The sequence below is a fragment of the Homo sapiens genome, chromosome 2 (assembly GCF_000001405.40).
Source record: "Homo sapiens chromosome 2, GRCh38.p14 Primary Assembly".
NCBI classification, from domain to species: Eukaryota; Metazoa; Chordata; class Mammalia; order Primates; family Hominidae; genus Homo; species Homo sapiens.
Genome location: NC_000002.12, coordinates 26,250,780 through 26,264,529, shown reverse-complemented (window position 1 = coordinate 26,264,529; position 13,750 = coordinate 26,250,780). Strand labels below are relative to the sequence as shown.

At 41.5% G+C, this 13,750-nt stretch overlaps 1 protein-coding gene across 4 annotated transcripts in view; it reads right to left on the bottom strand.

Moving 5' to 3' along the window:
- HADHB (hydroxyacyl-CoA dehydrogenase trifunctional multienzyme complex subunit beta) overlaps positions 1 to 13,750 on the bottom strand; it is a 45,527-nt gene that overhangs the window by 25,936 nt on the left and 5,841 nt on the right. For 3 of the 4 annotated variants that reach the window (XM_011532803.2, NM_000183.3, NM_001281512.2), the window contains exons 2-4: positions 10,212 to 10,283; positions 10,056 to 10,100; positions 1,051 to 1,150 (exon numbers count right to left, since the gene is read on the bottom strand). In XM_011532803.2, the coding sequence (XP_011531105.1) occupies positions 1,051 to 1,150; positions 10,056 to 10,100; positions 10,212 to 10,275 (209 nt within the window). In that variant the 5' untranslated portion in view covers positions 10,276 to 10,283. Of the gene's footprint in view, positions 1 to 1,050; positions 1,151 to 3,466; positions 3,550 to 10,055; positions 10,101 to 10,211; positions 10,284 to 13,750 lie in introns of all 4 variants that reach the window. The other variant, NM_001281513.2, reaches the window with a different exon arrangement.

The following is a 13,750-nucleotide window of genomic DNA, read 5'->3' as shown; positions in this document are numbered from 1 at the left end:
CAGGCTGGAGTATAGGTAGTAGCATGATCACGGCTCACTGCAGCCTTGACCTCCCAGGCTCAAGTGATCCTCCCACCTCAGCCTCCTGAGTAGCTGGGACTACAGGTATGTACCACCATGCCCAGCTAATATTTTTTATTTTCTGCAGAGACAAGGTCTTGCTATGTTACCCAGGCTGGTCTTGAACTCCTGGGCTCAAGTAATCCTCTTGCCTTGGCCTCCCAAAGTGCTGGGATTACAGGTGTGAGCCACTGCACCCAGCCTGAACCTTGCTTTTTATACTTAACATATCTTCAAGATCTTAGGTCTTCCATATTAGTATATAAAGATAGGTCTCATTCTTTTTAACAGATGCCTAACATTCCGCAGCATTTTTTTAAAGCTGGCAACTACCTATTCAAAATATAAACATTAAAACAATCTAAACAGAATAGAATGAACAGTTTAAACCTTGTTATCAAAGTCCATTATCAGCTTTTGGATAGACTAACCTTCACTCGGGGACAGAAAAGAAGCACAAAAGGCCAAGGAGAAGAGCAATTTGGATCTAGGGAATTCTGGAGCTGGTCTAGGACCATTCTGGTCCCACACACTTGGGGTTGTGCTATGCTGGGGGTTTGGACCAGCCCTATCAACTCCAATTTTAATAATTTCCAGGAGGCCAAACCAGTGGATTATATAGGCCCTTCAGAATGCCCATGGCCCACATCTTCAGCACTCAAACTTCTGAGGAGAAACAGGGACAATGTACTTGTCTCCAGAAAAGGAAAGGACAGCTCTGTTGGAAGCAAGCTATCTGGACCTCTAGGTTTTCAAAATAGAGCTGTTTCAAGTAAAACTACGCTAGACTTATTCATGAGAAGGATAAAAAACAAATGTTGCCATATTATTTCACCACTGTCTTGACTTATTCTATATTAATTTCATGGGACTGCTATCCAAATATTAGTCCACTAACAATATTATTACCTACTGGGTTACATTTACAAAGACTACTTTTGAAAGTGTCTTAAAAGAAGGAAAAAAATAATATGATCATGTCATACTTACGAAGTGCCAGACAGCAAAAATGGAGTGCGAACACCATCCACCACCACAACATTCCTTATATTGGGTTTGGCTAACGTCTTCTTCGTTTTGGTCTGGACAGCTTTAAGATAAAGTTTAAAAACAAAAACTACTAATTAAAATATATAAAGTCTGATGACTTTTACTTTTTTTTTTTTTTTTTAAGATGGAGTCTCGCTCTGTCACCCAGGCTGGAGTGCAATGGCGTGATCTCGGCTCACTGCAACCTCTGCCTCCCGGATTCAAGCAATTCTCCTGCCTCAACCTCCTGAGTAGCTGGGATTACAGGCACCTGCCATCATGCCCAGCTAATTTTTGTATTTTTGTAGAGATGGGGTTTCACCATGTTGGCCAGACTGGTCTCAAACTCCTGACCTCAGGTGATCTGCCCGCCTCAGCCTCCCAAACTGCTGGGATTACAGATGTGAGCTACCGTGCCTGGCCTACTTTTACATTTTTTAAGATAGTCATTCTAAGAATTATTACATCATTAATGCCAACTTGCATTTGCCATTTACTAAACCACTTTAATTTTTTTTTAAAAAAAGGCTAAGAAATTGACTAGCATTTGTAAGTTTCTAAATAATATTTAAGATAAACAAAGCTTATATCCAATGATGAGGGAATTTATGCCATTAACAAAATAGTTCATTTTTACTAAGTGTTTGACAACCTATTTCATTAGAAGTAACCAAATTTACACGCAAATCTACCCTTAATATTAGAAGTTGCAATGATTGATATTGTTCACTCTTCACATAGCTTGATGTTCTTACCTTTTCTACGTGGAAATAAGGGGCACTTGGTTGGTGACTTGCTATTCTGCAAAAATCTACATGCCTAAATACTTTTTAATCTCAAAAAAGCAAACTTCCTTTAGGTTTCTTAAATTAAAGAATAAAATATAAATGTGTGCCTATGGTTTTTTTTAAAAAGTAAATAATACTGAACTATGGAGAGTAAAAACTAAAGTTCCCTCTTTATGCCTTCGCCTACCACACTATTTTCTTCTAAGAGGTAAAGTCTGTTTATTTGGTGTATATACTTTCAAATCGTTTCTTTTAGTGCACTTACATGCATATACTTGTATATTATGTATATTTTATTGGCTTAACAATATAGCTCGAAGAACATTCCATGTTAGTATATCAAAATCTAGTTCATTATTTTCTTGTTTTTGTTAATGTTGGAATTTACCTACTCTATCATTATTCCTTATCAAAGATAGAAAAAAATCCTAAATTATTGGGAATACAATGTCAACAACGACCTTACCACACCTGTTAATGTCACAGAGAAGTATTTATAGTAAACATCTACAACCAACTTTAAAGAAATATTAGTGAGAGTTAATAGTCATGATAAAATAGGGCATAAAGATGACGCTGGCAGCATTCATGGAGAAGTGCTGCTGGTGAAGGAGATAAAGGCAACAAGGAGGTAAGCAAAGAGACTGTGGCAAACCCAAGCATGTGGCACAAAAGGCCAGGATAAAGGCAGTATCAACATGAGTAAAGAGGAAGTTTATAAAAGAAAACAAGGTATGTTGGCAACCAATCAGATATAGAAAGAAAGGAAAGAGGAAAACAGGATTATAAAGGAATCTTAGAGACTAAGAATACCTAGCTACCCGAAACAAAGTGAGAACTGGTTTTGGAAAAAAAAGGGGACTTAATTTTTTTTTTTTGAGATGATGCCTTGCTCTGTCGCCAAGGCTGGAGTGCTGTGGCACGATCTCGGCTAACTGCAACCTCCACTTCCCAGGTTCAAGCAATTCTCCTGCCTCAGCCTCCCAAGCAGTTGGGATTACAGGCACACGACACCACACCTGGCTAGTTTTTATATTTTTAGTAAAGATGGGGTTTTACCTTGTTTGCCAGGCTGGTCTTGAACTCCTGACCTCAAGTGATCCGCCAGCCTTGGCTTCCCAAAGTGTTGGGATTACCGGCATAAGGCACTGCGCCTGGCCTCATTTTTAAACTCGCTAACTTTGAGGTGACAGAGAGACAACCAGGTGGATATGTTAATTCCACAGTTAGCTAGAAGATGCAAAGCAAAACCTCTGAAGAGAAATGAGTGTAGATTAGAAAGTCATGAAATATTGAAGCTTAGAATACAGAAGGAAAGCAGAGATGTATTCTGCAATGCCTGTTCTCCCACAGCCCCCTCTATTTCTTTTATTTTTAAATTTCCTATTTCCTCTTTAACAATAAAAGATACTTTTTTTGTTTGTCTGGATGGGGGGGGGGTATTTGTTGTGTTGTTGTTGTTTTGGACATCCCACAGGCCCCTCTAAAGGGAGTTGCCCTGCTTACAGTCCCTGCCAAAGGGGAAGCCATAGACACATCCCTAAGTCAATATAAAAGCTGATTAGATTCAGAGTAGGTACTGGACTCACCAATGATCCATCCATATAGGAGCCAACCAGAAACCAGTGTCATCTACCTACAAGTGATCAACTGTGTTGGTCAGATTCTCTCTCTAGGCAAAGAAGCATGGAAAGAAATGCCAATTAGTTGAAGCTAAAAAGATGCCATGAGGAAGAACAGGTTGATGGTAAACTGATGTCATTCGTAAGCCAGAGTTTGTAAACCATAAGTGAGCAAATAAGCCAGCCAGAATGAAGAATGATAGAAGCAGAAAGACCAGGAAAGGGACATACCATGTGGTGTGTGAGACAAAGTAGCTGGCCCCTAGAGCTGCTTGCTTGGTTCCTAACACCTTTCCAGCTGTAGTACACACAAACCTTCTCATCCTTAACTTGAGGGTCCATTACTACACCAAAAAACCCTTAGCTTTGTGATGTCCCTACAATGAGAAGGCTGAGGGAATATGTGAGACAAACAGTAACTTGAGAGGTAGTAGGAGAATCAAGAGAGAACAGTACACAAGATCAAAGGCAGGAGAGTGTCAAGGAGAACAAGATGGTTAAATGCATCGGTCCTCAAGGAAAATCCTTATTTGAGCAGACAGAAAACAGGTCACTAAATTTGAAGATTTGCACACTATTCATGACTGACCTTGCAGGTGACAGGTCGAATGGTACACCATCATGTCATTCCACATTTTAAAAACTAACCAAGCCAGGCGTGCTGGCTCACGCTGTAATCTCACCGCTTTGGGAGGCTGAGGCAGGCAGATCATTTGAGGTCAGGAGTTCAAGACCAGCCTGGCCAACATGGTGAAACCCCGTCTCTACTAAAAATACAAAAATTAGCTGGGCACGGTGGTACGCTCCTATAATCCCAGCTACTGGGGAGGCTGAGGCAGGAGAATGGCTTGAACACAGGAGGTGGAGGTTGCCGTAAGCTGAGATCATGCCACTGCACTCCAGCCTGGGTGACAGAGCAAGACTCTGCCTCAAAAAAAAAAAAAAAAAACCAGAAAAAACTGACCATATATTCCTTTTATATACTTTCAGATAAAATTCAAATTCTTAACTCTTCTAACAAATAGCTTGTTTTACTCGGTTCCACCTTAAGTATTTTCCACTACTTCTCAAAATAGAACAAGATGAGCCAGCCCCCAGTCCTTTACAGCTTTGCTCAGGTCAGCCTCCTTGCCTTTACTTATGGACCTCCCATCTGCCTGGCCCCTTTTTTGCCCATCGAATTCTTACCTGTCTCTTGGGCCTCGTTCACATTCTACCTCCTAGTAAAGCCTTCCCTGATAACTACAGTTACTGATGATTCCTGCCTCTAAACCTCTGGGCAACCTCTAGGGCACACTGGCCATTCCAAATAATTTAGCATATTATAAAGTAATTAAACTAACTCTACAAGGCACATTTAAAAAATATTCATTATTATATGTAGGAGATCAGTCGGAGTGGTGGGAGAAACTATAGGGAAAGATGCAGGCCTTCTAAAAGGTCAGAAGGTTCTGCAGAGCCCTGGGGGAGAATAGCTGAAGGCAGCTGTTCTATAACCCTGAGGCAGAGGGCAAGGAGTAGGTACAAGGGAGTGTAGGGGAACGTATCTTAAACTAGCTTATTTATGTTGACCAGGAGCTGATCTTTGATCATCCATGCAAGACGTTCCTGGAAGGGGAGAAATAAACGTTAATTACCCACAGATTGTGTTTGCTCCAGGCTTTCATCACTGTGCCTACACTGAATAAAAGCAAGGAGCTCCAGCTTCTCAGGGCTGCTGCACTTTGGCCACTAGAGCCAGGCAGACCCCTAGCTGCTCTTACACTGCATACCTGTGTCTGAGTACTCATTTCATCTGTCAGTCAGCCAGGGTCTGTGGGACAGACCCGGCAGGTGGTGCCCCGTGTGAGACATGCTGCAATGGATCACGACAGAACCCTTGAAAATGAAAGTGAAGTGACCGTGCAGTAAGTAATTGGTGCCCACTCAGGATTTCCAAGTTCGAGGGGATTTTCAAGCTAGGGTTTCATCATGGGACATGATGTTCAAGCTAGGGTTTCATCATGGTGAGAGGGTTTCATCATGGTGAGAGGCAGGACTAGCTGGATTTCCTAGGCCGACTAAGAATTCCTAAGCCTAGCTGGGGAAGGTGACTGCACCCACCTTTAAACACGGGGCTTGTAACTCAGCTCACACTCGACCAATCAGGTGGTAAAGAAGGCTCACTAAAATATCAATTAGGTTAAAAGCAGGAGGTAAAGAAATACTCAAATCATCTATCATCTGAGAGCACAGGGGGAGCGACAATGATTGGGATATAAACCCCAGGCATTTGAGCAAGGAGGGGCAACCCCCTTTGGATCCCCTACCCTTGTATAGCAGCTCTGTTTTCACTTTATTAAATCTTGCAACTGCACACTCTTCTGGTCCATGTTTGTTCTGGCTCGAGCTGAGCTTTTGCTCACCTTCCACCACTGCTGTTCGCCACTGTCACAGACCCGCTGTTCGCCACTGTCGCAGACCCGCTGTTGACTTCCACCCCTCGGATCTGGCAGGGTGTCCGCTGCGTTTCTGATCCAGCGAGGCACCCAGTGCCATTCCTGTTTGGGCTAGAGGCTCGCCATTGTTTCTGTGCGGCCAAGTGCCCAGGTTCGTCCTAATCGAGCTCAACGCTAGTCGCTGGGTTCCACGATTCTCTTCCATGACCCATGGCTTCTAATAGAGCTATAACACTCACTGCATGGCCCAAGGTTCCATTCCTTGGAATCCATGAGGCCAAGAGCCTCAGGTCAGAGAAAAAAAGGCTTGCCGCCATCTTGGGAGCCGCCTGCCCCATCTTGGGAGCTCTAAGAACAAAGGCCCACCCGTAACAATGGGACTTGAGTTATCAGCTCAACAGCAACAGTACATAAAAGTATTGAAACAGCTGCTTGAAGCTAGCACAGCCTCCGTTTCGGAGGCTCAGTTAAGGGACCTAATGCAAACTGTTGTTTTCCATAACCCACGGTTCCCAGAAGAAGGCACACTAGACCTAGAGTTCTGGGAACAAGTTGGAAGAAATCTTTTTTTTTTTGAGACAGAGTCTTGCTCTGTCCCCAGGCTAGAGTACAGTGGCACGATCTCGGCTCACTGCAAGCTCTGCCTCCAGGGTTCACACCATGCTTCTGCCTCAGCCTCCCAAGTAGCTGGGATTACAGGCGCCCGCCACCACGCCCGGCTAATTTTTTGTATTTTTAGTAGAGACAGGGTTTCACTGTGTTTGCCAGGATGGTCTCCATCTCTTGACCTCGTGATCCGCCTGCCTCAGCCTCCCAAAGTGCTGGGATTACAGGTGTGAGCCATCACGCCCAGCCACAAGTGGGAAGAAATCTTAAATGACATCATGCACAAGGGCAACAGGTCCCAGTAACATCTTTAACGTTGTGGGCCTTAGTTAGGGCTGCTTTGGCCCTGCTCTACACAGAAGAGCCTAAAAAGAGAAGCGAAGAGGAACCATCACCTACCTTACCACCTCCTCCTCCCTCAGCCCCGCCGTTACTGGGTAAAGGTGCCACAGAGGAGACAGAGGTTTTTCCTGAGCCCCCTCCCCCAATAAACTGGGAAGAAGACAATGGATATACTACAGTTATGGGACCCTGTCTTAGGCAAGCAGCATTAGAAGGGGAGCTCTTGGCCGGGTGTGGTGGCTCATGCCTGTAATCCCAGCACTTTGGGAGGCCGAGGTGGGCAGATCACGAGGTCAGGAGATCGAGACCATCCTGGCTAACACGGTGACACCCCATCTCTACTAAAAGTACAAAAAATTAGCCAGGTGTGTTGGCGGGCACCTGTAGTCCCAGCTACTCAAGAGGCTGAGGCAGGAGAATGGCATGAACCTGGGAGGCAGAGCTTGCAGTGAGCCGAGACTGTGCCACTGCACTCCAGCCTGGGCGACAGCACGAGACTCTGTCTCAAAAAAAAAGAAAAAAAAAAAAAAAGAAGGGGAGCTCTTAGCCTTCCCAGTGACGCAAGATCAACAAGGCAATCAGGTACATGAACCCATTACTTTCAACACTTATAAATAAATAAGAAAAAGCATTAGAGAAAACAGAGCCACTAGCACATTTACGAGAGGACTGATTGAGGCCACAGCAGAAAACTACCATATGACCCCTTTCTAATAATGGCCAATTATGTATTCAATAGTCACCTAAGGACTCTCATTCTGCTTCATGTGCACACTGGCTCCTAAGCACATCAAAATTTTCTCAAGACAATACAGCTCCATTTTATATATTCTACAGTGCTCTGGGCACACAGCAGTAATGAATTATAAGAATCTGAATTGAGAGCTAAAATATCTGGGTTGTAGGCCTACTCTGCCACGATTTTCTTATTTGCAAATATTAGAGCTGAACTAGATGACCTCAAAGGCTCTAACCAACTCCAAAACCTACAATTCAATGGCTGACTGATATACATTGTATACTCTTTAAAAACAATTAAAATCAAAGAAGATAATAAATGTGTCATGTATTATACAACTATTATACACGTGTGTGTGTATATATATATATATATATACACAGAGAGAAAGACATCTATACATAGACATAACCATCAAATCAGTCAAAATTTCCATCAGACACTTACATTTCCAGTCCATCAGATGACTAAAAACATCCATAAATTCTGTACCCCTCTATTTTAATTCCTTCATCCTAACAGCTCTGTCAAGAAGAGATATTCACACAAGCTTCAAGAGGAATTAGTTATAAAATTACTGCAATCTTCAAACCAGAATGCCAGTTAAAACAAAAAAAAAATTACTGCAACCTAAAACCTGCTCAGCACAGGCACATGCCTGCTTCCTCCCTCAAATCAGCTGGCCACTTCCCATTGTTTTATCACGTGCCTTCTGGTACCACTATCATCATCAGCGTTAATGCAAGTTACTTGTGGGACACTGTTATATTTGCGGAACACCATGTTATACACTGGGGATACCAAAAAGCTAAAGACTCACAGGGCTTACAATACAGTTGGGGAGACACAAACATCAGAAACAGTTACAGAGCAATATAAGGAATAGTTTAAACACCAGATACTTGGTTTCCTCTGCTGGTATTCAGAATGACCTTCTCCCACTTGGCAAGGATCAGGTCTATTTGTGTGACTTTGCAAAGCAAAGACCTGGGTCAACATTAGAATTAGGGAAAAGGCAAAACAAGACAGACAGGAATTATTTATGGGGCTACTACAAACCTATATTCTAGTTAGAATGTAAAGGCCACAGGAAATATATTTGTTATATGACAATATGAAACTTCTCTAGTTGGGATTAGGCAATAATAGAAAAATACCATCTTGCACTTACAGTGAATTTATAGTTTTTAAAGTGCTTTGAGATATCTCATAACTATATGAGGCTGACAAGACTAGACTTATTATATATTCCTTTTTTAGATGAAGAAACCAAGCACAGGGAAGTAAAGTGACCAGTTCAAGGCCACACTGCCCAGAAAGAGGTAGAGCTGGAAGAGAGTACAGGTCTTCTGAATCCTGGGAACCAAATCCCAGGATTTTTTCTTTCTTTCTTTTTTTTTTTTTTTTGAGCCGGAGTCTCGCTCTGTCACCCAGGCTGGAGTGCAGTGGTGTGACCTCGGCTCACTGCAAGCTCCGCCTCCTGGGTTCAAAGATTCTCGTGTCTCAGCCTCCCAAGTAGCTGGGACTACAGGCGTATGCCACCATGCCCAGCTAATTTTTGTATTTTTAGTAGAGATGGGGTTTCGCCATGTTGACCAAGCTGGTCTCAAACTCCTGACCTCAGGCCATCCACCTGCCTCAGCCTCCCAAAGTGCTGGGATTACAGGCGTGAGCCCCCGCACCCAGCCTGGAAGGTATTTTTTCTATTATTATACAGGTAGAAATACCATAATAAAACCAAAATCAAAGGCATGGGTCAATACAGAATCTAGGCAAGGAGAAAAATGTTAAGAATTTGTCAGGGTGTTTTTAGCACTAGCCAGTGAAGATAAAAACCTACAGCAGATTCTACAAAAATCTGCAGTAAAGAAGCCTAATTCATTGGGTTTACTAAGGGTGTAAATGACCATATAAAATCAACACATTTCCTTACTCTTTCATTTCATATTAACTAAACAACTTTCTGTTATTAACTAGTTCCTAATCACTTCTATTTCAGGAATGGGCCCTCTTGCACATGGGAGAAGAAGATATTCATCAATAGAGAAGCATTTCACAAATTGCAAATTTAAAGTTAACTTTTGGTTCCATAGCAGGTCTCAAGAGCATTTGTATGCCATTCACCTCCAGGACGGACAGCAAGAGGATAAATAAACTGACCAACGAGGTTTATGGAACCTCCATGACTCCAGCAGGTTCAAATCCCAGAAAACAGCCTCCCATTAACATCCTCAAGCCTAATCCTAAATAATGTAGTATCATTATTGATTGGACCTATAATTTTTTAATTTGAAGGCAACAGAGATGTTCATGTGCTCATAAAAAGGGGAGAATTAGCAAATTAGTTTTGGTTTTTATTCAGAGTTCACAAACTATAGAATCTGGAATCTAACATTTAAATCAGAAATATTTATTTTACAAATTACTGTACCTGGGGCAGCTCGTAGCTGGGAGGAACAGCTCAGAGGTCTTATGGCTGGAAGACAAAATAAACTGTTTACAAAAAGCAATACCATTCAGTATCTGTGCGAGATGTTTATAAATCCAAATCCAATCTCTAAAAATAAAAAAATAATAATAAACTTACAAAATCTGAGGGCCCATTTTGATGCAGTGGGAAGATTTTTAAAGGGGTAAGTCAAGATAGTCATTCTGGAATCTAAAAAGAGAAGAACAAAAGTATATCCTGGATTAGCTGAACAATTTGTAGTTTACATTGTAGTCTATGAACTCTGATAACCTCATCCATGGCTACTAGAAAACATTAAAACTTAATCTTATCAACTATTCTTCATCTAATAATATTATTATGATAGGAACACCAACATGGTTTTCACATTGCAGCAACCACTATTCTAAGCATTAACCATCTAATCTTCACAATGACCTACAAAGGAGGCATGATTATTACATCCTTTGTAAGAGATAAGGAAATTGAGGCATAGTAGGATTGAGTGACTTGCCAAAAGACCTACAACTAGTGAGTGGCAGAGCTGGAATTTTTATTTATTTATTTATTTATTTATTTATTTATTTATTTATTTATTTTTTTGAGATGGAGTTTTGCTCTTGTTGCCCAGGCTGGAGTACAGTGGTGCAATCTCGGTTCACTGCAATCTTTGCCTCCCAGGTTCAGTCGATTCTCCTGCCTCAGCCTCCCGAGTAGCTGGGATTACAGGCACGTGCCACCACACCCGGCTAATTTTTTGTATTTTTAGTAGACATGGGGTTTTGCCATGTTGGCCAGGCTGGTGTCGAACTCCTGACCTCAGGTGATCCATCGCCTTGGCCTCCCAAAGTGCTGGGATTACAGGCGTGAGCTACCGCACCAGGCCCAGAGCTGGAATTTGAACCTAGGAAGTCTACCTCTAGAGTGTGTGCTCCTCTCCTTTAGGGTCAAAGAAGCAGAGAGACTGCTAGGCGTGATAATAAAACCATTAGTATTAGTTTCACGATTCTGAAGGCTGTACTATGATTATGTAGAAGGCTTTGTGGAATGTTTGTATCTGAAGGGAATATACACTAAATAGGGATGGTGAAGCATCATGTCAGCAACTTAATCTCAACTGCTACTAAAAAAAGTTTGTAGTACTGCACTTGCAACTTTTTCAAAGTTTGATACTGTATTGTTTCAAAACAATAAAAAAGTAAAACATATAATAACCCTATATGTTAAAAAATATGTAAAATATATTAACAACTTTCCCCCACCCCTCCAAAAAAGACTAAATTTCTAACAATGAGTTCCTACAGATTACTAAGGAAAACACTAGCAGACAAATAGGCACAGAATATGAACAGACCACAGAAAAGGAAATACAAATGGTTCTTAAGTATATGAAAAGATGTTCAATTTCACTCATAAGAAGAATTCAAATTAAAACCACAGATATAATTGTCTCTCAAAGTAGCAAAGATTCAAAGGTTTGATATATACTCTGTGTAGGTAAGAGTATGTGCAAATAGATATTCTCATATACTGCTGCCAAGAGAACTGGCACAGTCCATGGGGAGGGCAATTTGGTAATTATCCATGAAAACTATAACTGAAACTAATGTTTGAACCAGCAATTCCACTTCCATGAACTGACTTCATGGATATTACTCACACACAGGACATAATCCATATTGTTACTGTAATAGTCAAAAATTAGAATAACCAAAAAATAGGAAAATGGGTAAGTAAACCATGCTACAACACCCCTGTGAAATACTATGCAGCTGTAAAAGGTAAGGAAATGATTATGCACCAATTCGGAACCATTTTAAGCTGTATCATTAAGTGAAGAAAGCAAGGTGCAAAATAGCTGTACAGCATGCTATCATTCATGTTAAAAGAGGAAAAATATTATGTACATTTCCTTGTATCAGTATAAAATCCCCCTGGAAGTATAATAAAGATGTTAAAAATAATTGTTGGCTGGAAGAAAGGGAACTGGGTAACTAGGGGTCAGGGGTGGAAGACTTGTCATCACACACCTTTTATAATTTCTTAATTTTGAAGCATGTTTTAACAACAACAACAAAAAATCAAAACCAAAAAAATCCCACAAGATTTACCAACAAAGACTTTGGTAGCCAGCCTCCAAGTTGCCCCCCAATAATCTCTACCTCTTGGTATTCACATCCTTGTCTAGCTGCCTCCCTCTCCATATCACAGAATGTATAAACCAAAAAGTATGTTACAAGTAATGGTATGCCACTTCTGAGATAGGCTATAAGAGATACTGCAGCATCTGTCGTGGTCTCTCTCTCAGCTCACCCACTATGAGAGAAGCCAGGTGGCATGTCCTGAGCAGCCTTATGAAGAGGCTCCTGTGGTGAGGAACTGATGCCTCTTGCCAACAGCCATGTGAGTGAGCTTGGAAGCGGAGCCTCTAGCGCAGGCAAGCTTTCAGCTGACTCCAGCCCTGCCAACATTCTGACAGCCACCTTATGGGAAACTCAGAGCAACCCAGCTAAAGTGCCCTTGATTCCTGACCTTCAGAAACTATGAGATGGTAAACATGTATTGTTTTAAACTGCTACATTTGGCGGTAATTGGCTACACAGAAATAGATAATACAAAAGCTTTAAGGTTTAACTTCTCTTGGGTCTTTAGAGACTAAAAGAAGGAGGTCCTATAGCTTCCGAAAAGAAAAAAACAAAACATGTTCCAAACATGTGGATTGGAAAGAGATGGAGAAGCCCAAGCTTTAGGATCACCAGCCTAGGGATATTCAAAGGACTCTGGCCAGAGAAACACAAAGAGGCCCATGAGAGAGGCACCACTCAGAAGCTACTTACAATGCCACAAGGGTCTGGGCTACAAGTTCCCTTACGTAAGGTTCATCTTGAAATAAAATTCATGAAAATTGTCAAGAAAATGTTGAAAAACAAAAGGGGGAACCTTGTTGCAACAGATAACAAAACTTTCTAGGCCAGGCACAGAGGCTCACACCTGTAATCCCAGCACTTTGGGAGGCCGAGGTGGGAGGATCACTTGAGCCCAGGAGTTTGAGACCAGCCTGGGCAACCTAGTGAGACCCTGTCTTTACAAAAAATACAAAAAACTAGCTGGGCATGGTGGCATGTGCCTGTAGTCGCAGCTACTCAAGAGGCTGAGGTGGGAGGAGCACCCGAGCCAGGAGTTCGAGGCTGCAGTGAGCCATGATCACGCTACTGTACTCAAGCCTGGGCAACAGAGTAAGATCCTGTCTCAAAAAAAAACAAACAAAACACTTTCTAGAAAGAACCAATAATTAAAACAGAGCAGCTTTAGCACAGGAATAAACGACACTGATCAACAAAACAGGATGTAGCAGTTCAGAAGCAGACCCATGTATGTAAGAATTTAGTGTATAATAAATATAACACTTGAGTTAGCTGAGAGAAAGAAATTATTCCATGAATTCACTGGGAAAATGGCTAAACATTTGGAAAAAATTTTAGGTTCGCAGCTCACAGCGAAAGCACAAATAAATGCCAGACAGATTAAATATTTAAATGTATATATTTTAAATATATATATTCTAACTATAAAAGTACTAGAGGAAAACATCGGAGAATATAATATATACATACACACACGTGTATGTATTTTTTAGAGACAGGGTCTCGCTCTGTTGCCCAAGCTGTAGTGCAGTG